General features: G+C 48.2%; 1 long non-coding RNA gene across 1 annotated transcript, besides 1 other annotated feature; it reads right to left on the minus strand.

The window, feature by feature from the left end:
• Positions 1 to 972: 972 nt before the first annotated feature.
• Positions 973 to 21519, minus strand: LOC101928682 (uncharacterized). Its single transcript, NR_104667.1, has 5 exons — positions 21435 to 21519; positions 20751 to 20804; positions 19786 to 19864; positions 2215 to 2451; positions 973 to 1221 (listed from the first exon to the last, which is right to left on the minus strand). It is a non-coding gene; the product is annotated as an uncharacterized LOC101928682 (long non-coding RNA).
• Positions 8110 to 8615: an enhancer, noted in NCBI's record as "H3K4me1 hESC enhancer chr16:87312649-87313154 (GRCh37/hg19 assembly coordinates)". NCBI's record gives its function as "activates a minimal SCP1, AML or CMV promoter by ChIP-STARR-seq in naive and primed H9 embryonic stem cells {active_cell/tissue: H9 hESC(naive and primed)}" and the evidence as "EXISTENCE:reporter gene assay evidence [ECO:0000049][PMID:30033119]".

Consider the following 24731-nt stretch of genomic DNA (forward strand, 5'->3'; position numbering starts at 1 on the left):
GGAGGATCACTGGAAGTCAAGGCCGCAGCAAGCCGTGACTGGGTCACTGCACTCCAGCCTAGGTGACGGAGCAAGACCTGCCTCAAAATAACTAAATAAATAAGAATATTTTATTCTCAGTATTTCTTTTCATATACACACACACACACGATACACACGCCCACATACACACACACACACACACACACACACACACACACACACACACACACACACACCAGTCAAAGAACTTTTGAAGCAGATTAACTCCAAAACCAAGGTTAGGAAGGAAATCCCCCAGGACACTACTCATGTTTGATGTTGGTTTTCTGTTTGTTTCTCTTAGAGCTCTTACAATCTCTTTCCTGAGCAATGGGTGAAACTATTTTGGGGGATCCGGCAAGGAGATCTTCCACTGGCTTTTAGTCAAAAGCTGAGCCGACAGACATTCCAGCAGCAACAGACCCAACCACCAAGACCCATTGTTGGACAAGCACCTAAGGATTTGCAAACCGGCACAGCCACGCCCCAAACCCACGCTGTGCACTCCGGGGACCACGCTGCGGGTGAGCAGAGCTGCAAGTCTGCAAGGCCCCAATTTATCCGTTAACTGCCCAGTTCTCCCTGGAGACTCGCAGCTTCTGGGTGTGGGGACTGTTTCTGTTCTTGTGGGGACCTATTCCATTGTCTTGCCTTGGCACAAACACTCCATGAGCTGGAAAACCCCCAGCTGCGTCTCAGACTGAAGCTTAGAAGCATCTTCTCCTTCTCCCATCCCGACTCTCCCACGGACGACCCCTTCCCCACATGAACCTCCTCATCCCTCTCCCTCTCCAAGTACATCCCCGTGTTGGGGCCTTTGTATCTTTGGTGAATTCTGCCATCTGGCCCAAGCCTTTGTAGGCATCCAGGAGGCTTTGGAGGGGAGGATATTTGATAAATGATAGTTGCTCTAAATGAGCTGGAACAAGACACAGACAGAGACTTCCCATGGAAAGCTGAGAAATGTTTATTCCCAGAAGACAGTGGTGACACGATGTCCAGCCACCTGTCAGCCAGTGATGCAGGGTTGGTGGCTCTGAAATGTTAGGTCTCCCAGCCCGGACACATATGGCTGTCTTCTGGTGACTGTTTCTCTCAAACTAACCACGTGGGTCCATTAGAAGCTGCCATGCTCTCAGAGGAGCCCCCGCCACATTCTGCCAGCCTCAGCTCCAGAGGTGTTGCTGACCTGGGGGGATGCTGGTCATGGAGGAAAACCAGGCAGGAGTGGAGATGTCACAGAGTCTGGCAGTTTTGAGACCCTTCCTGCAATCTGGTTGCTCAGCCTCAGCTTCCATTCTAGGAACTACTCACTGCCTTGCCTGAATCTTGTTTCTGTCACTTAAACCCAAAGAGTTATGTTGATTCCAGGGTTTTTATTGTGGTACAATACACATAACGTAAAATTTAGGCTGGGCATGGTGGTTCACACCTGTAATCTCAGCACTTTGGGAGGCCAAAGTGGGTAGACTGCTTAAGCCCAGGAGTTCAAGACTAGCCTGGCTCACGCCTGTAATCCCAACACTTTGAGAAGCTGAGGCGGGCAGAAGCAAGCAGATCACTTGAGGTCAGGAGTTCAAGACCAGCCTGGCCAACAAGATGAAACCCCGTCTCTACAAAAAAAAAAAAAAAAAAAAAAAATACAAGAAATTAGCTGGATGTGGTGATGCATGGCTATAATCCCAGCTACTTGGGAGGCTGAGGCAGGAGAATTGCTTGAACCCGGGAGGACAAGGTTACAGTGAGCCGAGATCACGCTATTGCACTCCAGCCTGGGCTATAACAGCGAAACTCCATCTCAAAAAAAACAAAAAAAAAACAACCTGGGCAACACACAGAAGCCCCATCTCTACCAAAAAAAAAAAAAATAGTTGGGATGTAGTGGCGCACACTTGTTGTCCCAGCTACTTGGGAGGCTGAGGCAGGAGAATCACCTACGCCCAGAGAGGTTGAGTCTGCAGTGAGCCACACTCAGTCCAGACTGCCAGACACAGTAAGACCCTGTCTCAAAAGAAAATGTATCATTTTAACTATTTTCAAAATGTAGAATTCTGTAGCATTTAGCCCATTTATAAAGCTATGCCACCATTGCCACCCTCTAGTTATAGAACATTTTCATCACCCCAAAAGGAAGCCCATTCCCTGAGCAGCCACTTCCTGGCCCCACTCTCCCAGCCCCTGGCAACCACTCACCTGCTTCCTGCCTCTGTGGCTTTGCCTGTTCTGGATGTTTCATTCCAATGGAGTCATACGGCATGTGGTCTTTTGTTCAAATCCAGTTTTAGGGCAGTCCTAGAGCAGCACTCACCACTCAGTCCGAGGTGGCTTCCCTCTCTGATAAGGTCCCCTCAGGAGTCCTGGCTGCCTAGTCCCTCAGCCTCACCAAGGGCACTTTGCTAAGGCACGTGGGTGGAGTGGACGGCCAGGTTCCTATGAAGCCATATCAGAGTTTGAGTCCTCCCTTTTCCCTTTCATTCACTGAATACTTGTAAGCATCTATTTGACACCCACTACATGCCAGGTGCCGTATGTGATTACATGAGATGAATAAGGTGCGGTCACCACCTTGCGAGATCTCAGTAACCAGGGAGGTCGGGGGGCAGGGGGCTTGGGTCTGTTTTCCCATCTCTTTGAGCCTCTGTCCTAATCTGTGCAAGGGTCCGATCCCCTGGCCTTGCAAAACTGTTATGGCATTTCCATGGGGTAACGTGCAGGGCCAGGACTAGGGTGAAGCAAGAGAGGTACCCGCCGGTGCAAAATTTAAGGAGGTGCTCACTCTCAGAGCCATGCAATGCAGGGTTGGCACCTGAGACCAGGTGTCACCTCCAGTTTTACACCTCGGTGCCTCACTGTCCTGGCCCGGGCCCTAACAATGTGTGCACACACAGCAGTGCCCAGCACAGCAGGCTGCCAATGACAGCTTCCTCCAGGCCTGGCATCTCACCACAGACTGTCCTCCTTCTCTTTGAACATAATCATCTCAGCAAGTTTATGAGACATCTCAGTCTCTTAGCTTTCCTCCTACAGATGAGCCTCAGAGAGGTTTAGGAGCTTCCCTAAAGCCACAGAGCATGTGGGGGCCAGCCTGGAGCATGAGCCCAACTCCACCTGACCTCCAAGCAGGAGCTTGTCCTCCTAAGAATGAAAGCACTCGTCCTATGTGGTGCCCCAAAGTGGGGGACCTTTCTGAGGGCTTCACCTGCATTAACGCATTCCCACCCCACCCCCGTTCCCCACCATCCAATGAGACAACTGCTAATTTCATCCCCCTTTTATACCTGCAGCCCGGGGGGTAGGGGGTCAGCCAGCTGGCTCCGGTACAAGTTCACGACGGGAGGAGCTGGGTGGGGACCTGACGATGTGGCTGCATGGTTCCCCAACATCTTCTGCATTTGGCCCACATACAGTGCCATCCTAGTAGATATTTGGGGCTTGCCACCATTGATTTAGCCTTGGTCCATAAGAGGTCATCATGGCCCACTCAAAAGTTCACTGCCTCAGATGCCCTCTCCCAGGACCCTGCCCAAGGCAGTGACTGTGGGCGTTATAGCCTGTGTCTACTGAAGGGGGTGTGTCCACCAGGGAACTCACCTGCAGTGGCGTGTGTCCTGAATGAACATGCACACGCCACTGCCCACACACATGCACACACATGAACACGTGTGTACTGGAAAGCAACCCAAAATCCCTAGAAGAGCTAGAGAGGCATGGAGAAGCACATTTCTGATTTTTGCAGACACCCAGTGGCCAGAGACCACTGTTATGCAGCTCTAGCCTGAAACCCTTGCTCCTCTCAGCCAGTGTCAGCCACAGCTCTCCGGAGAAACAGAACTAGCAGGAGGTTTAATATGTGTGTGCCTGTGTGTGTAAAGAGAGAGAGACAGATTTTTAGGAATTCCTCATATAACTGTGGAGGCTGGTAAGTCTGAAATGTGCAGGGCAAGCCGGCAGGCTGGAAACCCAGGCAGGAGCTGATGCTATGGTCTTGAGGCAGAATTCCTCCCTCCCAGAAATACCTCGGAGTTTGCTCATAAGGTCCTCCCCTGATTGGATAAGGCCCACCCACACTGTCAAGGGTAATCTGCTTCCCTTGAGGTCAGCTGATGGGAGAGGCTGACCACATCCACCAGCACCTTCTCAGCAGCACCCAGATGGGTGTCTGACTGGACCATTGGGCACGGGAGCCTGGCCACAGGACATGTGAACCCCACCGTCAGCCCATCAGGGTCTGAGCCAGGTATCAGAACCCGCCCAGGTATAAGAATCCACTCGCGTGTCAGAACCCAGGACCCAGTGATACCAGAGGATCGGAACCCGCTCGGGTTGACACACCAAGGAGTCACACCTGCTTCTCACTCCAAAGTGCTTCTCGTAGACACGCTTTTACAGGCTTTCTTTGACATGAAATGTTACTTGGGAGACTCTCCAGCACACTGCAAAATGTAAACTGTGATGGTATGCATATGCGCCTGTATATCAGAGGACCAACATGAGATGTGTTGTTGAAAATCTTTTTGTTGGGTTGCCTCAGAAGGGCTGTCTTGCTAAACAATGGATTCTACAAAGTGACCAAGCAATAAAAAGAAACTTCGAGTTTTAAATTTCAGCTAATTCTCTCATCTACAACAAACCCTTCTTTAATAAAAATGACTGCAATGAAAAAATCCCTAAATAACAAAAAAGCCGCCTGACTCAAATCAATGAGCAATATCACTCCAGCCACATCCAATGGAATGAAACGGCACAAGATTACTGCTATGAGATCCGACCCGTAGAATTCAAATGTGCATGACCTTGTCCTTATGAAATGAATGGTGGGAGCGGAGAAGCCAGCAAAGGAGAGTTACATTCAACTCAAAACCAGGAAGTCAACTTCTCCTAAGAAAGGCCCCTTAAAATGTTCAGGAGAGTTTGTATAATCACAAATACATAGGGGAAAAAAATCGTAAATATACTTTTCATTACGGTTGAAGAAATGGAAGAGAAGTCTACTTTGCAAATGTGGGGGGAAGCCCTCTGACTCATGAAATGGGGGGGTAGGGTAAGGGAAGGAAACATTTGGGATTAAATATTGTCATTTGAGTGGCGCAGCTGATGAAAGCCAGGAAATTCTAAATGTGTGCACCGACAATCTGCCACTCCAATTTTACACTCCGGACTCCTGAACAAAAGCTACACTGTGAGGTGCCTGGGGACGGCGCTGGCGTGACTGCGGAGGGAACGGGGCACAGGTTTCCTTTCAATTTAATGACTTTTCAGTGGTGAGTGTGAAAACCAAAATGTTGTTCTGCGAGGCAAGGCGGACGCTTGGCCCTGCCCCCTCCCCCAAGCACTCCAGTGAGATGATTTCGTGACTGGGGACAGTCATCTTGCCCTGTGTCACCTCGAAGCATTTAAATCCTGCTCCCACCAGCAAGATCCCTCCTGCCCTCCATATGGACGCATGGGGGCAGCCACACCATCCCTGGGTCCTGAGCCCAGACAACCCTGGCACTGTCCCCACCATAGTGAATTAACCCTGGCCATGGCTGATGCTGGCTCTCTACAGAAAGCCAAATGCCAGCGTGCAGGGAATCAGCCCAGGAGGAGACTCTGTGTGTGTTCAGAGTCAAAGAGCCCCTTAGAATGGCAGGCACTGTTCGCTGATGTGCATTCTGGGGTAAATGACAAGGAGACCGTAAGTCACAGTGCCCCCAGGGCTCCCTGTGTTTATTTACTGAGTTCAGCCAACAGCCTCCGAAGTGATTTAGACGGCCCTCCAGATAAAACTCTGGGAGATTCAAAAGGAGCTTTTACAAACTTAACCTTGCCTGGGTGGTGGGCGCAGGCGGGCGGGAGAAAGCACAGAGGAGGCATCGGAAGGGGCCTGGGGCCTAAGACCACCTCCCGTGACCGCCTCTGAAGTCTAGGGGTGGTTCTTTGAGCATAAGACTGAGGTGTCCGAGGGACAGAGGTACCCTAGGCCCCAGGCCCAGGAACCCAGAGCAAAAACAGCTCCGCAAGTCGCCTGCCCAAGCATGAAGCTGCAGAGAGCATCGGAGGAAAAGAAAAAACACCCAGGCCTTGAGACCAGAGGGAGAAACCATGAAGCAATGGCCGGGTGCGGCAGCTCACACCCATAATCCCAGCACTTCGGGAAGCTGAGGCCAGAGAATTGTTTGAGGCCAGCAGGTTGAGGTTGCAGCGAGCTGTGACTTCACCACTGCATTCCAGCCTGGGTAACAGAGCAAGACTCCATCGCCAAAAAAAAATAAAAATGAAAAGAAAGGAGCAGAAGGCCGGGCATGGTGGCTCACGCCTATAATCCCAGCACTTTGGGAGGCTGAGGCAGGCAGATCGTTTGAGGTCAGGAGTTTGAGACCAGCCTGGCCAACATGGCGAAACCCTTTCTCTACTAAAAATACAAAAATTAGCTGGGCATCGTGGCAGGCACCTGTAATCCCAGCTACTCGGGAGGCTGAGGCAGGAGAATTGCTTGAACCTGGGAGGCAGAGGTTGCAGTGAGCCAAGATCGCGCCATTGCATTCCAGCCTAGGCAACAGAGAAAGACCCCATCTCAAAAAAAAAAAAAAAAAAAAAAAAAAAAAAAAAAAAAGGAGCAGGAAGAGAAGAGACATAAATAGTAGATTTGCTGAATCTGAGGATTCTTTCCCTTTCTGCACTTTCAGGCTGAGATCTCTGAGCTCTGAGAAAAGCCACTTGGAACCTCGCCAGTGGCCTCCACCCTTTTTCAGAGGAGAGCAAACACTGGCGCAGCCTGCACTTGTCCCTCCTTGTCAGGGATTTCTTTGCCCTGGCTTAAAGAACACCCCAGCCTGCACTAATGGGCCTAGGGCGATGCCCACACTTGCAGGGACCCACCACACACCGCCTGTCCTCCTCCTCCAGGCTGCCCCGCAGCCCTTCAGCCATGCAGGATGCTTTCCTGCCTCCACACCTCCACCTAGGCTGTTCCCTCTGTCAAATGCCCTTCCCACACGACTTCCCCCTAAGAAATCCTAATTGTCCCTTAACACTCAGCTCAAAAGTCATTTCCTCCAACGCACCTGGGACAGAAGAGACCACACTCTGCCCACGTTCCCCAGAAACTCCAGAGGGAGCAGGACACGCTTACCCCTGTGAGTCTGAGAGGCGGGGTTGGGTGTTCATCTGTGTGCACTTGGTCCCTGAACACGGCAGGTGCTCCATAAATGTCAGGCCCACTCCCCTAGACATCAAGAGGGCTGCATCCTCCAACAAAGCCCCTCTCAGTGACAAGCGTATCTCAGAGCCCCCACAGTCTCTGACCATAGCAACAGGACCAACATCCCAGTCGAAGCAGGGGTGTCCCAGGCAGCAGGCCAGGACCACGCCGCATGTTCACAGGCTCAGTTATAGCCGTCGACCACGCCACGGCGCCCAACCACGCCACGGAGCCCGACCACGCCTCGACCATGCCACGGCGCCTGAACTTTTATCTCCATTTCTCAGGTGAGGACCTGAGGCTCGGGTGGCCCCGTCACTTTCCTAGGGGCATTGGGCAAGAGGCAGGGACTGTGCACAGCCCAGAGCTGCCGTCTCCGTCTCTCAGAAAAGCAGCCCTGAGTCTCAGCCCTGCCATCCTTTCCCACAGGATTTCCAGGCAGGGCTCAAAGAAGTCCCTTCCTCACTCTAAGACGGGTCCTCAAAGCTCGGATGCAGGACCTGAATAGAGGCCTGCGCTCATTGATTTGATTTGATTTTTCCTTCTAGATAACTGGCTCAAATACCTATTGTTTTCCCTTGATCTTAAGGCAGCATTTTCAGGACAAGCAGGAGAGTCTCTACTTGCCTTCACCTCGGGCCATAAACCAGGGGACAGCACCACCTCCTGGCCGGCAGAGATGTGGCGCCCGCTTGGTGTCCGGCTTGCAGAACCCAGCAGCCGCCTCGGACGTCCTGAGCTGCCAGCCTCTCCAGTCCCAGTTAGCAGAGGAAGTCAATAGGGCACGAGTACCTCGTGCTCGTAAGGAAAGCAGGGTGGGCTGGCCTCACTGGGCTCGGGCAGCAGTGCGAGAGTGCAGGTGCTGCACCGTCAAAGGACAGGCACCACCAGCCTGGCCCATGAGCCAGAGGATGCGGGCTTCCTGCAGCTGGGAGCAAGGAGCACCTTGGAGAGGAGCCCAGGGGAGCTCCAGGAGGAGGATGACCGAGCCAAGGGAGCCCCGTCCATAAGCAAGATTGGGGGGCCACAGGGGAAGAAATTAGAGGTGCAGGGCAGACAAAATCAGAAGCCACAGTCGCTCAGTGCCCTGGGTATGACCTGGCACCGGGACACACCTAGCCAATACGTCCTAAAGAGAAACAGGAGGAGTTGTCAGCAAGGAGGCGTGTGTGCCGGCCGCGCGTGACAGTGTGTGTGTGCTGGGGAAAGACACGGATGAGGTAGGCAGGGGCTGCTGCCCGGAGCTTCCACGGGGTGGGAGAGAGAGCAGGAAGGACACGCAGAAGCACACAGATGATGGGGATGCATCATTTGTTCAATTAAATTTCCAAGCAAATCTCTCCCTGGCACTTCCGATAAATACTGCTGAAGGGCAAGCTAGCGTCCCCCGGAGGTAGAGGTCACTTGAACCTTTCATTCATTCACTAACCTGCTCACTCATTCATTCAGTAAATGTGAACTGCACTTCTGTGCCAGGCCAGGTGTTGCAGTAAGCACTTTATCCGCATCATTGTGTCATTAGATTTGTTTTTTTTTTAGGAGTCTTGCTCTGTCACCCAGGCTGCAGTGCAATGGTGCAATCTCAGCTCACTGCAACCTCCACCTCCTGCGTTCAAGCAATTTTCCTGTCTCAGCCTCCCGAGCAGCTGGGATTACAGGTGCACACCACCACACCTGGCTAATTTTTGTATTTTTAGTAGAGATGGGGTTTCACCATATTGGTCAGGCTGCTCTCGAACTCCTGACCTCAGATGATCCATCCGCCTCAGCCTCCCAAAGTACTGGGATTACAGGCGTGAGCCACCATGCCCAGCCTGTGTTATTAGATCTTCAGCATAACCGCCATGCAATAGGAATGAGATATGAAAAATTGTGTCCCAGATAAGTTAGTTAACTTATCCAAAGTTACACAGCTTCTGAGTAGCAGAGCTGGAATTTGAGCCAAGGTTCAGCCCCAAAGCCAAGATATTAATTGTGCTAAGTTCCATGGTGGCCCTTCACGCAGAAGGTATTTACTGAGCTCCTGTCATGGGGCAGGCAGTTGAGCCAGGCTCAGGGGCTACACCAGGGACCAGAACAGAGCTGCACCTGCTCACACCAAGCAGATGGGCAGAGGTAAGTCGTGGATGCACAAACCAGCAAGAGAAGAGGCACCAAGCAGAGCTGCCTCCACCCCGGCTCGCATCTCACGGCTCTGAGCCTCAGTTTTCTCATCTGGAAAACAGGGATAAAAATAAGCTGGTGTGAAAATTTAAAAAAATCTGATACCCAAGACATAACACCCCTGGTGCCCCTAAATACTTCAATGTGTATTTCCTGAAAGCAAAGACATTCTCTTTCTCAAGACAGCACAATCCTCAAAACCAGCAGAATTGCTTGGATACAGTGTTACTATCAAATCTGCTGACCTGACTTCCATTTTACCAAGTGTCCCAATAAAGGCTTGTGTACCAAAGAAAATACTGAACTATGCGTTGCAGTCAGTTGTCACATCTTTTTTATCTCTTTAGTCTTCTTCATCTGGGACATTCCTCAGTCTTTCTGGTCTTTCTCTCAGGCCAGGTATTTGATAGAAAGTTCTTCAGTTGGAGTTTGTCTGATATTTCCCGATGGTTAGACTCAGGGTTTGCATTCCGGGCAGGAAATCCGCAGAAGTTCCATTGCATCCTTCTCGGTGCCGCGTGTCGGGAGGCCATGAAGTCTATCTGTGCATGCATGGATGATGCTGATATTGATTAAGGTGTTGTCTGCCAGCTTTCTTCACTTTAAAGTTAAGACTTCACCCTTTGTAATTAGTATCCTGTGAAGAGGTTCTTTGAGACTATGTAAAAATCCTGTTACCTATGAAATTTTCACACACTAGTTTTAGCATCTACTGATGACTCTTTCCAACATCAATCATTACCATGATGGCGGCCGAGTTGTGGTTTTCTAATCACATTCTATCTTCATCAGCTGGCTCTGGAGCACACCTTCTTCAAGGCAGATTTTCACCGAGGAGTGGGAAATCCGTCTCCCGGCATCCTTCTTGTCCCTACAATTCGTTCTCCCCACAATACTCAGAGAGGACTTCTAAACAAGGAAGCCAAAACATGTTCACCTACAAGAGAGTGAAGGGGGAACCTCCATCCCACTCCATACACAAGAAATTAACTCAAAGTGGATCAAGCCCTTAAATGTAAGAGCCCAAACTTTAAGCTCTTAAAACATGGGGATAAATATTCATGACACTGGGGATTTCCAAAGGATTCTGAGCTATGGCACCAAAACCACAAGCAACAAAAGGAAAAATGTATATATAAACCTCATCAAACCTAAAAAGCGTCAGAGGACACTGTCAAAGAGGAAACAGATAATCCATGGATGGAAATAAATATTTACAGTACCTTGTACTAGACATCTTGTCATATATCTAGTATGAGATTTGTGCCTAGAATATATCAATAATTTTTACAACTCAATAAAAAAAAGATAAATAACCCAGGTGCCTGATAAATACTTGTCCAATAAATGAACTAATGAAAACCATACACACACACACACACACACACACACACACACACACACAATTTACTATGGTGCTTACATTCAAGACAATAGTCATTTTTAGAGAGAAAACTACTATTGTACTAGCATTGATTTCCCCCCAACAACCATCTTCTAGATTAGTGTTTTCATAGCACAGAGTTTGGGAAATTCCACACCAGGAGTTTGCTGTTCACCAAGACTCTCAATAGTTGCCAAAATTAGACCCAAGACTCAATATGGTATGAGCAAAACGAGCGTTTTCATGCACGCCTGGGTGGGGAGTGAACATTGGAACCATCTTTCCAGAGGGTGATTTGTCAACCATAAGCCTTAAACCCAGGTACACCCCTTTACCCAGGAAAGTTCTAGAAAATTACACCAAAGGAATAGTCACAGTTTGATATAAAGACTGGACAACGAAGACGTTTCTTGTAGCCGTGTTCATAATATCAGAAGATGAGATGTTACCTAAATGACTAACGTTAGGTAGTGATTAAATGCATCAGGGTGCACCAAGCCATGCCATGGAGTGCTATGCTTCTGAAGATGAAATCATAAAGGAAATCTGACATGGAAATTGTCATAGCGTATTGTGTAGTGGGGAAAAAAAGTGGGTTGTAAAATATTATGTAGATATAACAAATAAAGGACTTGTATCCAAGATACAGAAAGAATGTTACAATGTAAAAATAAAATGATAGCTAATTTAAAATGGGGCAAAGGGCCAGGGGCAGTGGCTCACGCCTGTAATCCCAGCACTTTGGGAGGCCGAGGTGGGCTGATCACCTGAAGTCAGGAGTTCGAGACCAGCCTAGCCAACATGGTAAAACCCCATCTCTACTAAAAATACAAAAATTATCTGGGTGGCGGCACGTGCCTGTCCCCAGCTACTTGGGAGGCTGAGGCAGGAGAATCGCTTGAACCCAGGAGGCAGAGGTTGCAGTGAGTCAAGGTGGCGCCATTGCACGCCAGCCTGGGAGACAGAGGGAGACTCTGTCTCTAAATAAATAAATAAATAAACAAACAAACAAACAAACAAATAAAATGGGGCAAAGCATTGAGGAGACATTTCTCCAAAGAAGATTCAGAAATGGATAGATACCAATAAGCACACGAGAGGATGTATCAGGAAAAAAGCAAGTCGCAATCACAACGAGATACCACACGCCATGTCTGCTAGGGTGGCCAGAATCAAAAAGACAGACAATAGTTGGTAAGGATGAGGAGAAATTAGAATCCACACGCAATGCTGGTAGGAAGGCAGTAGTGGAGCTGCTGTTGAAAGCAGCTTGGCAGTGCCTCAAAATGTTAGCTATAGATTTACCATATGATTCATCAATTCCACTCCTAGGTATATACCCAAGAGAAATGCAAACCTCTGTCCATAAAAAACATGTACATGGGCTGGGCATGGTGGCTCACACTTGTTATCTCAATGCTTTTGGAGGCCAAGGCGAGAGGATCACTTGAGGCCAGGAGTTTGAGACCAGCCTGGGCAACATAGCAAGAACCTGTCTCTAAAAAATTTTTTTTCTTTAAATTAGTCAGGCTTGGTGGTGCATGCCTGTAGTACCAGCTACTCAGGAGGTTGAGGCGGGAGGATAGTTTGAGCCAGGGAGGTCGAGGCTGCAGTCAGCTATAATTGCACCACTGCACTCCAGCTTGGGCAACAGAGCCATCTCTTAAAAAGAAATAATGTGGCCAGGTGCTGTGGCTCACACGTGTAATCCCAGCACTTTGGGAGGCCAAGGCAGACGAATCACTTGAGTCTAGTAGTTCAAGACCAGCCTGGGCGACATAGTGAAATTCTGTCTCTACAAAAAAATACAAAAATTAGGCAGGCATGGTGGTATGTGCCTGTAGTGTCAGCTACTAGGGAAGCTGAGGTGGGAGGATGGCTTGAGCCTGAGAGGCAGAGGTTGCAGTAAGCTGAGATTACACCACTGCACTCCAGCCTGGGTGACAAAGTGAAACCGTCTCAAAAAAAAAAGAAAAAGAAAAAAAGAAAAGAAGTAGAGACAAGCGAATCTCCAAAGAACAGCTGCCCAGGGTCTCTCTGTTCAGTAGACTGGGGAAAGGGTTGAACTGGGTTTCCTCTCCCTGCAGCAGGAGAGGCTGCTCCTTACCCCCAACCACCACCAGGGCACAAGACCCCCTCCAGGTCTCCAGATGTCAAAAGGCTGGCATTTCCAGCATCCCCTGAACACCCAGGCAGTCTCTTTGTCCCTGTCTACAGGGTGACACTTTCCCTGCCCCCATAACTAGGGGAGCAATGGGAGGCAGGGTTTCAACTGGGTCACAGCCTGTTGGGCACAGAGCTGTCCCCACTCGAGCTACCTCTCCACAGGCTCCTGTGGACCTGCTGTGCAGCCTGCCTGACAGCCCCAGACTGTACCAAATGCCACCCACTCCATGCCTGCAGCTCTGGCTCGTCCCAAACTCCCCTCATTGGCCATACAAAGCAGCACATCTGAAACCTTACGGCACAGACATGTCACCTGGGTCCGGTTAAGGTGCAGATTCTGCATCTGGAGTCGGGAATGAGGCTGCATTTCTGTCTTTCTAAGCTCCAAGGGATGCCAAAGCCTGATCCATGGAACACACATTGAGTTACAAGATCATGAAAACCCTCCTACTGAGTCAAGTAATGGGATATGAGGTTCTCTTCCTGGACCACCTGCTTCCCCATGCTGTCCAGAGGCCCTGGGGAGGCTGCTCTGCTCTGCGGCAGTGTCTGTGGATCAGATTTGTCTCCTTGCTGACAATTAGGCTGTCAGGATTTGGAGATATGGAAGGGGAGGGGCCTGGGGAGCACTGGCAGAGTAATTTCCCACCCCCAGAGCTTGTTCTCTAAAGAAAGACAACCATCTTACTTTAGGGGTAGAATTTTGCAATTCTTGTGCATTCTAAGGTTGATATTCTGCTTTCTTTTCAGGAGGGTAGAGACAAATACAGGAAGTGAACTAAAAGTTAGTTTAGCTGAGTGTGAAAGGAGATCAAAAGTAACAGCTAGGCTGGGCGCGATGGCTCATGCCTATAGTCCCAGCACTTTGGGAGGCTGAGATGGGCAGATCACAAGGTCAGGAGTTCGACACCAGCCTAGCCAACATGCTGAAACCCTGTCTCTACTAAAAATACAAAAATTAGCCGGGCGTGGTGGTAAACACCTGTAATCCCAGCTACTTGGGAAGCTGAGGCAGGAGGATCACTTGAACATGGAAGATGGAGGTTGCAGTGAGCTGAGATCACGCCACTGCACTCCAGCCTGGATGACAGAGTGAGACTCTGTCTCAAAAAAAAAGAAACAAAACAAAACAAAACAAAACAAAAGGCCCAGCATAGTGGCTCACGCCCATAATCCCAGCACTTTGGGAGGCCAAGGCGGGCGGATTGCCTGAGCTCAGGAGTTCACTACCAGCCTGGGCAACACGGTGAAACTCGGTCTCTACTAAAATACAAAAAATTAGCCAGGCGTAGCGGCATGCGCCTGTAGTCCCAGCTACTTGGGAGACTGAGGCAGGAGAATTGCTTGAACCCGGGAGGCAGAGTTGCAGTGAGCCGAGATCACGCCACTGTACTCCAGCCTTGACAACAGAGCGAGACTTCATCTCAAAAAAAAAAAAAAAAAAAAGGTAACAGCTAATGCCAGGTGATGACCAGAAAACACAGTGCACACCTCTCTTTCCTTACCTCTCCCACCCGTCCTCACTGGGGATCTTTGGTTGGCTCGAGCCCCTGCCTACATCTAATGGAATCACAGGAGAAATGGGGGTTGGGGGTTGGAGGATGAGAAAGAAAAGTATTTGAGGACTTCCTCTGATCTGGTTCTGACACCTCAGGCCCCTTATCCCTCTTTATAATTATTATCCCCCTCTTCTACAGACTAAGACACTGAGGCTCAAAAAAGGCTAAAAGATTTGTCCAAGGTCACATGGCAAGCAAGCTGGCAAAAAATGTTTGTTGTCATGACTCCTAAGTCAGGCTCTTTCTATAATATCAGAGTCTCCTAAATCGAATGTCTCTATTAGCAGGTAAAGCAAAGTACAAATGGCACATCACAGGATAGGAGCTGCATAAATGGACATATTCCAATTAATTTGAAAAAGCATGTTGGAGAAAGCAAGCATGAGGGGAGGCAGTAAAACTGGTGGCAAGGTAAGTGGAATCTTCCAGATATAGGATCTTAAGGAACAGAATGAATGATTTGGAACTACATATTTATCTTAAGAAACCAGTAGAACTTTAAAAAGCTCCCATTCATTCAAAAGTATTTAATAAGCATCTGTTGAAGAGGCCAGGTGCAGTGGCTCATGCCTGTAATCCTAGCACTCTGGGAGGCTGAAGCGGGTGGATCACCTGAGGTCAGGAGTTCAAGACCAGCCTGGCCAACATGGTAAAACCCTGTCTCTACGAAAAATACAAAAATCAGCTGTGCATGATGGTGCATACCCATAATCTCAGCCCCTCAGGAGGCTGAGGCAGGAGAATCCCTTGAACCCGGGAGGCAGAGGTTGCAGTGAGCTAAGATTGTGCCACTGCACTCTAGCCTAGGTGACAGAGCGAGACTCCATCTCAAAAAAAAAATCTATTGAACACCAGTCCTGTGGTAAAGGAGAGAGAGGGTGATAGGGATCACTCCAGTTAATTCTCACAACAATCATTTGTCATTCTTTTCCATGCATGAGGAAAACAAGCCTCAGACAGGCTAAGTGTCCTGCCCAGCTGGGATGTGAACCTGGTCTGTCTGATCCCAGAGTCAGCAGTCCTAACACTGCACACCCATCACTCCCTTTTCACCTCAGAAACATCAAGCTGCAGTCTCTATGAGCACATAAAGAATGTATCTGAGATTGTTCTCAATGCTGGCCCAGACTCAGAAAAATCCTGCTCATTCTGATCCAAGCAGGTAGGAGACCAATGATATGCTACCTACAAGAAATAAACATTAAAGGCAAAGACAAGTTTGAAATAAAGGCATGTTTCTGGCAATGCTAGAATAATAAATACAAGACTCATCCTGCCATACTATAGAGCTAAGAAAATGAAACTGATGAAACGGTCATCAATTTAAGAGATCATGCCTGAGGGAGGAGAAACAAATGAGGTGAGGCCTATGAAATAAAATAGGTGGTGACAGATATAAAGAATGTCCTTCTCATGAACATCAGTAGACTCCGCACAGTGGAGGAAAGGAACGAACTTAAGACAGCATAATAGAAATTATCCAAACTAAACACAAGGAGGAAGGGGCAGGGGAGGGGTGGGAGGAGGGGAAGGAGAAGGGGAGGAAGAGGAAGAGGAGGGAAGGGAGAGGAGCGGGAGAAGGGGAGGAAGATCGGGGGAGGAGTGGGGAAAGAGCAGGAGGGAAGGAGGAAGAGGTGGGAAAGAGGAGAGGAGAGGGGGAAGGGAAGGAGATGGAGGGGAGGAGGAGGGAGAGGGGTAGGAGGGCAACGATGATGACGATGATGTTTTAAAAACCCTTGGGACAATATAAATAATCTAACACACATGTGACTGGAATCTAAGAAGGAAAAAGAGGGAACAATAACGGTGGAAGATATATTCGTAGTCAATGGCTGAGAATTTTACAAAATTAATCAAAGACATCAAGTCATAAATCCAAGAAGATTAGAGAATCCCAAGCAGGATTTTAAAGACACATAATATTTAAACTACTAAAAAATAAAGAGAAAGAGAACATATTTAAGGGCAGCCCAAGAAACTAAAGAGCAAAGTTAAGAATGACAGCAGATTTCTCATCAGAAACTATATAATCCAGAAGATAATGAAGTGTCATCTTTAAAGTGCTGAGAGATAAATAACTGTCAGCACAGATTTCTACCCCAGGGAAAAATATCTTTCATAAGTGAAAGTAACTTTTTAATTTCAGAAAAATAAAATCTGAGATGACTAAGTATCAGTAGACTTGTGCTACAATAAATTAAAGGAACTTTTTCAGGTAGAAGGAACATGAAACCAGACAGAAACTCGGTTCATACACAGAAACAAAGAGCTCTGGAAATTGTCCCGATGAAGGTTTGGATGAAAGAACTTTTAAATCACTCTAAAATATTTAAAGTCTAAAGCAAGCTTGTCCAACCCATGGCCCACAGGCCACACACAGCCCAGGGCAGCTTTGAATGTGGCCCAACACAAATTTGTAGACTTTTTAAAAACATGATCAGATATTTTTTTTTCTTTTTCTTTTTTTTTTTTTTGTTTTAGCTCATCAGCTATAGTTAGTGTTAGTTAGTGTATTTTATGTGTGGCCCAAGACAATTCTTCTTCCAATGTGGCCCAGAGAAGCCAAAAGATTGGACGCCCCTGGTCTAAGGCAAAAATAGAAGCAAAGGATTCTGGATTCTTAAATGCATGTATGACAATATACAAAAGATGGGAGGGACAAACTGGAACTATGAAATTCTTCCATTACACATGCATGATATCTTATTTGTAGGTAGATGGTGAAAAATTAAAGATGGATGTATACTGTAAACCCTAGGATAGCCAAAGAGATATTGTTAACTGTTTAATACAAATACAATTATTTGGAAAAACAGGAATAAAAATAACAATACTGGCCAGGTGCAGTGGCTCACACCTGTATTCCCAGCACTTTGGGAGGCTGAGGTGGGCAGATCACTTGGGGTCAGGAGTTTGCGACCAGACTGACCAATATGGTGAAAATCCACCTCTACTAAAAATACAAAAATTAGCCAGGCATGGTAGGCACCTGTAATCCCAGCTACTCGGGAGGCTGAGGCAGAAGAATCGCTTGAACCCAGGAGGCGGAGGTTGCAGTGAGTCGAGATCACACCATTGCACTCCAGCCTGGGTGACAGAGCGAGACTCCATTTCAAATAATACTACTAATAATAAAACATTAAATAATAAAAATACAAATACAATAACAATGTACTGTGGCATTTGTAATACATGTAGAAGTGAAATGTATGAAAAAATAGCAGAAAGGAAGGGGTAGAAGAAATTTTTACTCTTCTCTCTTTGACCAACCAACCACACCTGTAAAATGAGAACAAAGTCTATGACATAGGATTATGAAAAGAACTAAATGACTTCACACACGTACAGTACCAAGCCCAGCGCCTGATGTGTGATGAGTGCTTGGCAAATATTTGTTAAATGGACAAGTGAAGTGTTTAGTGTCATACATTTATTCATTATAAGAAAGTCAGGATCTCTCCCTAAGAAGCTGAATGTGGATTTCCTATATGGGGCTCACCAGGAAGTTGGTTAACTGCCAACAAGCGTTGTGTCTTCAAGCCCTGGTCTGGAAAACAGTCCATCATCAATTTTACCTCCCAAGACTCGGTTCCCTCCCAGGAGCTTGTAAGTGAGGCAGACAGAGTTTAGTTAGTAATGGCAGTCAGGAAAAATAAACTTGCCTAGAGAAAGGGACAAAGAGAACCACAAACAGCTTATGTCGGGAAAAGGAATGTTTTCATCTCCTCAACATCTGTAATGCACATTTATCCTGTGATGAGCAATTGCACTTCTGTGTCTGACCTTGGGAAGACCCTGGAAAGTCTGGCCGGTTTGAAGACAAATGTATAAACCACACGCAAATTTCACAGCAAACCAACCAATAAATATTCTCCAAACTGCCCTTGACATGTAAATGTTACCATGAATCTTAATGGCTTTATGCCCGAATCCTAGGCCTAGGAGCAGCCAGTAAAGTCCACGGAAAGATGTTCAAATGGGGTGTTGGTCAATGGAATGGCCCATTTTCCACTTTGCATAGGACAAACGTGATCCTGCTTGGATAGAAAGGGAGTTGTGTGAGCAAAGGAGGTGTGTGGGAAAGCCCAGGGCATGGCGGGGAGGAGCAGGTCAGTCTCTGAGGCTGGCATGTTGGACACTCCATGACCTTGACGCCATTTTGCTCCAGAAATTTCTGCACCAACCAGCTGTGCACAGGTGTAGCCAGCACACTGCCTAGCTGCACCATGTACATCTTGCTTTCAGCCCAGCCTCTCTGCCACCGCCTCATGGGACCTGCAGAAGCCATCCAGCCACAGAAATGCCAAGGACACGTCACCCTGTGGGACAGCCCACACCAGCGCAGGGAGAGAGCAGTAACCCCCGTGGAGCCTGCACACGTCCTCAGAAAGTCCCTGATGGAACCGGGTCCCAACTGCCTGCCAGGACGAGCGACAGTCCTGGCTTCAGTTGATTCTCCTCGTGCCACTTCCCCAAAGGGAGCATTTTACTGGATGAAACCAACTTGAGGAACTTATGAAATTTAGTAATTTACCAAAAATGTGCTTATTTTAGCTCGTTATAATGTATACAGTAATTTATATTGGATGGGATGGTTTTGATAGATTTTGAAGATTTCTGCAAAGCTCTAAGTAACTGGGTTTTTTGGGGGGTGGGGCTTATTTTTGAGACAGGGTCTCACTTTGTCACCCAAGCCTGAGTGCAGTGGCGCAATCACGGCTCACTGCAGCCTTGACCTCCTGGGTTCAAGAGATCTTCCTCGGCCTCCTGAGTAGCTGGGACTACAGGCGTGTGCCATCATGCCTGGCTAATTTTTTAATTTTTATAGAACGGGGTCTCACTATGTTGCCCAGGTTGGTCTCAAACTTCCAGGCTCAAGTTATCTGCCCTCCTTGGCCTCCCAAAGTGCTGGGATTGCAGGCATGAGCCACTGCACCTGGCCCCTAAGTGACTGATTCTCATTTTGTCTTCACAATAGCATTTCCTCAGCAAAAGGCGAAAGACATACAGGAGACTTGGCACACACAGTGGCCTGGGCTGCTGACGCTTGGAGGGGCAGTGGGAGACAAAGTGAGGTGGTATGAGGAGGAGGGTGTGCTGCGCCCACCCCCCCTCCCCCCGCAATCCTCTTGCCCTAACAACCCTGCCAGGTTGAACACCCCGCTCTGGGCGCTGCCGGCTTTAGGCATCACCTCCAATTCCTGATGGCTCTGGGGCTTCTATAGCCTTCTCTATAAAGAGGGACTGCACCATCTGCCCTCAGGGGTAATAACGAGGGCAAAGTAAGACACCATATGTTTAGCTCTTACTGCAGCAGGAGTTTGGTCCGCATGGGATGCTTTTATTGTTACTGTTGCCACAGATCTTGTCTGAGGAGCTCCTGCAATCCTGAGGAAACAGGTGGAAGGTGTAAGATTCCCCTCGGCTGGAGACCTGCTCATTTTTCAAGATCTTTCCTGAGCACCATCTCTGCCCCAGCACTGGGCTGAGCACTGGGCACATGCGGAGCCCCAACACTGCCCCCAAAGGCTTCCGGCCTGGACCCTGAAGGAAGACAGGCTGGGAGCACGGGACAGCACCAGGGAGCAGCCTCTCCAGGAAGAGGAGCCCAAACGGGCAGAAATGGGGCGGGAAGGGCTCTCTTGGCAGAGAGGGTCAGATGACTGAGAACTTTACACACCAAGAGGGAAAATCTATTCTTGCATTCAGTGAAAGCACTCCTTTTGTGAACTGGAAAGTTGTTTTTTTCTTTTTTTTTGAGATGGGGTCTCACACTGTCCCCCAGGCTGCAATGCAGTGACATGATCTTGGCTCACTACAACCTCCGCCTCCCAGGTTCAAGCAATTCTACTGCCTCAGCCTCCCAAGTAGCTGGGATTACAGGCACCCGCCACCACGGCCAGCTAATTTTTGTATTTTTAGTAGAAACGAGGTTTCGTCATGTTGGCCAGGCTGGTCTCGAACTCCTGACCTCAAATGATCCACCTTCCTTGGCCTCCCAAAGTGTTGGGATTACAGACATGAGCTACCACACTCAGCCAACTTTTTCTTTAAAACCCCAAATTTTAATTAGCACCCCTGACACAGATCATTACCCCTTTAAGTAGCTAGTTTCTGAACTCCTGCCTCCTGCAGAGATTCTCTCAGGCATGCAGGTGCCCTGCCCTCCCCATGGTCTACCTCCATGAAGTTGCACTCAGTCCTACTCTGGCCCCAAACCCCTTTGAACAAAACCCATGGAATGGTGTGGCTGTCTGAGCCTCGGTCTCCTCACCTGTCAAATGTAAGAGTGAATCAATGTCATGCATGTAGGATGTCTGTGGAACACCTGGCAGGGAGAAAACAGTGAATAGTAACTATCGTTACTGCTGGTGCTCAAAAAATATCAGTCATTTGCTTGAGTCCAGGAGTTTGAGGCTGCCGTGAGCTATGACTGAATCACTGCAGTTAAGCCTAAGCGACAGAGGGAAATCCCATCTCTTCAAAAGAAAAAAAAAAGCCCTATTTTCTTCACGTTTTCCATCACAGAAAAGCAAAACATTCAGATCTAGTAATTAATACTTCAGCAAAGAAGGCTCATGAGCCCATTTCTTTTAAGCATCTTCTTAACATTTCTGAGCCTGTCAGTAATCACTTTCCCATGTACTGGGTGGTACTGAGTAATTATCTCCAGCTCTCCCCAGGTCCAAGGTATTCTGCTGCAGAAACGTGACGTGTATGAGTTAGCTAGTGCTGTGTAACAAATTATACTGAGACTCAGCAGTTTCAAACAACCACCGTTGAACATCTCTCACAGTTTTTGAGAGTTGGGAATCCAGGAGCAGCTCATCTGGGTGGTTCTGGCTCAGTCTTGCTAGTTAAGTGGATGTCCAGGGCTGCAATCCAGGATTGCATGACGGGGCCTAAAGGATCCGCTGCCGAGCTCACTCATGTGGCTGCTGAGATTTCAGCTCCTTACCATGTGGCATGGTCACAAGGCTGATGGTGATGTAGCAGCTGGTTTCCCCAGAGCAAAGGGTCCAAGAGAAAGGAGAGAGGAGAGAGAGAGGGAAAGAAACCAAGAGGGAAGCAACAGGACCTTTTATGACCTAATCTTGGAAGTACTGTGGCATCACTTCTGCAGATTCTATTGGTCACACAGACCTATGTGATATAATGTAGGAGGGGCTACACAAGCACGTGAATTCCAGGGTGTGGGACTGCTGGGGGCTATCCTGGAGGCTGGCTACCACGACATGTCTGAGATCAGTTCCCAAGGACACCATCCCATCTGGGAACACAGATGGGAGCAGCTACGTCTTCCTCTGGTGCGTCTTCAAGTGTGGCTGCCATCCATTAGAATCAAGAGCTGAGATGGCAGCTCCTGAAAAGGATGGGAAGGCTGTGACCTCACAGTCCATGGGGGAGGTTGGTGCGTATTTTTCTCACCAGCTGCAAGACAACTGGTGGGAAAATGCTCAAGGCATTAACACTTCCCTAAGGTGAGCACAGTCATTTCAGCACATTAGCAGGCTGGACTCATAAGCATTTCAGAAACTCAAGTGAGAACCAGAGCCGGGAGGTCAAGCTGGCAAGTCGTTTCAGATGGTCTTAAATTTTATTTAAAAAGGAAGAATGCAGGATTGCACAAACAGGGGCTTTCTGTGCCAGACCTGGCCATAATCAGCTTCTCTCTCACCTGGGAGGACAAAAGTAAAAGAGATGTTTGGAAACCCCAAGAAAACGTATTTAGAGCAGTTGAAGGTGGGGTGGGTGGGAAGGAAAGTAACTATTTCCATAGAAAAGAAATGATGACATGATAATATTTTCGTTTTACATCTTTTCACTGTTTCCAGAGGTAGACAATTACAGCCTCTTGGTTTCCTTCCAATCGAGCCCTTGAACCAGGACCCTAAGGGACCCCAGGGATCTGAAAGGAAGTCACAGTGACTTGGGTAGCAAAGGGCAGTTCCAGGGCTCTGGCTCTCCCAGGCCCCTGCACATTTCACATCTACACCGTGAGAGGCAGCAGAGCCAAAATCCAAGCTTTGCACCCCCATTTCCTCATCTAGAAAATGGGGATGCCAATGGTACCTGCTTCAGAGTATGACATTACTATGGAGGATGCATTCAATACCTGCAGCTCAATCTGTGCCTGGCACTGGCTGAGCACGTCACCAGCACTACCTCACTTAGCAGGTAAAAAAATGAACATCCAGAAATTTGAAGTCGCTGGCCTTGCCCAGAGGGCTATGTTCACCAATTGCCACCAGGGCTGTTGGACCCCAGACTGCGTCTCAGCCTGGGCAGCTCAGTGTTACTCTTCATCCAACCAGCGAGCCAGTGTCACCCCTCAGTGTCTCAGAGGCCCCTCCAACTGAGCTCCTCCTCTCCTCCACTCCTCTGCCCCTGCCCCTCCCCGACACAGCCCCACCTGCCCCTCTTCCATCCTGTCCTCACCTGTGTCCCATTCAGGATGAGCAAATCAGCTGCAGTACCCAGTCTCTGGGAGCTGACACTCCAGTGCAAGGGGACACATGGGACGCAAGATGCACAAAACAAAGAAAACAGACGGGCAGCCCTGGCTTACGATGGCTGGGCCTAACCATGTTTTGACTTTACATAGATGCGTGGATGAGTCAATCAGTAGGTGTATAGATAGACAGATAATACATGAATGAGTGGCTGGGTGAATGGGTGAGTATGTGGATAGGTGGGTGGCTGGGTGGGTGAGTGGGTGGATGGATGGATGGATGAATGGATGAATGGATGAACAGATGAGTGGGTGGGTGAATGAGAGTGTGTGTGAGTGAATGGATAAATGGATGAGTGGGTAGATGGGTGGGTGAGTAGGTGGGTAAATGGAGGGGTAAATGAAAGGACAGTGGATGAATTGTTGAGTGGATGGGCGAGTTGATGGACGAGTGATAGGTAGATGAATGGATGGTGGCTGGCTGGCTGGCTGGGTGAATGGGTCAGTGGATGGATGAATGAGTGACTGAAGGATGAATGAGTGCCTGAAGGATGAATGGATGGATAGGTAGACGAATGATGAACAGATGGATAGGTGGGTGGATGGATGGATGGATGAGTGGATGAGGGTACTGATGAACAGATTAGCAAATGGAGGAACAGAATCATTGTTCTGGTTGTAAGAAGCCCAACTCCTTCCTTTAGGAGAAGTACTAGAAATGTCCATGTTTGTTTTCTGCAGTCTTTGACAAATGTTCTACAGTCGAACAAGGTCTGGCTGTAAAATGCCTCTTCCTTTTCTGAGGAAAAACAGCACCTCTTTTTTCTTTCTTGCAAGTGACGCAAAACATTTCACATGGCCTCAAACAGATCTAGCACCTAAGGGTCAGGAGCTGGAAACTTCACCAAACACATACATCATTACAGTTCTCCTGAAAGTAATGGTGCCACTATTTATGACCATGAATACGGCATTAAACAAATACTGAGATGGGGAGAGCTCGTTACTCAAGGCCATTAAACAGCTCAGGAAGAGTGCAGTTATGTTAGAAGCCAATTAAGAGGACTCACACCGGTTGTCAGCAGCCCACGAGGTGCTGGGACGTCCCCTAGCACATAGTAGGCACCTCGTAAAATGCGTAAACCAAAACAAGAGAGTCAGATTAGCAGTCCAACAACAGGGCTATCTGGAACACTGCCCTTCATCATCCCCTGGGCCGCGTGCAACATGGACCACAATGCTCAAGAGTCCAGGACCATTCATGAACACACAGAGCAAACAATGCACCTCAATGGTAAATACCAATGATTTAGTCATTTATTTATCAAACACTTCCTGAGCACTTGCCTGCCAGGCACTGTTAAAAGTGCTTTATAATTATTAATTCATTAAATCATCATAGCAACCTTATGAGGTAGAAGCCATTATTATCCCCATTTTAAATATGAGGAAACTGAGGCGCAGAGATCCAACACACAGTAAGCTACGGAATCAGGATGTGAACCAGACTATTCAGCTCACAGTTCATGTCTGAAACAGACAGCAAAGAGGAGGAGCCTGATGAAGGTTCATTATACCACAGGTGCTTACACACACTCCCTTATCTAGGGGGAGGAGCCTATTGAAGGTTCATTACACCACAGGAATTTACAGACACTCCCTTATCTAAGGGGAGGAGCCTGCTGAATGTTCATTACACCACAGGAGTTTACACACCTTTTTGTGGAGAACAGGGTCTCGGTATATTGCCCAGGCAGTTCTCAAACTCCTGGGCTCAAGCGATCCTCCCATCTCTGCCTCCCT

This window comes from Homo sapiens, chromosome 16 (assembly GCF_000001405.40).
Source record: "Homo sapiens chromosome 16, GRCh38.p14 Primary Assembly".
NCBI lineage: Eukaryota > Metazoa > Chordata > Mammalia > Primates > Hominidae > Homo > Homo sapiens.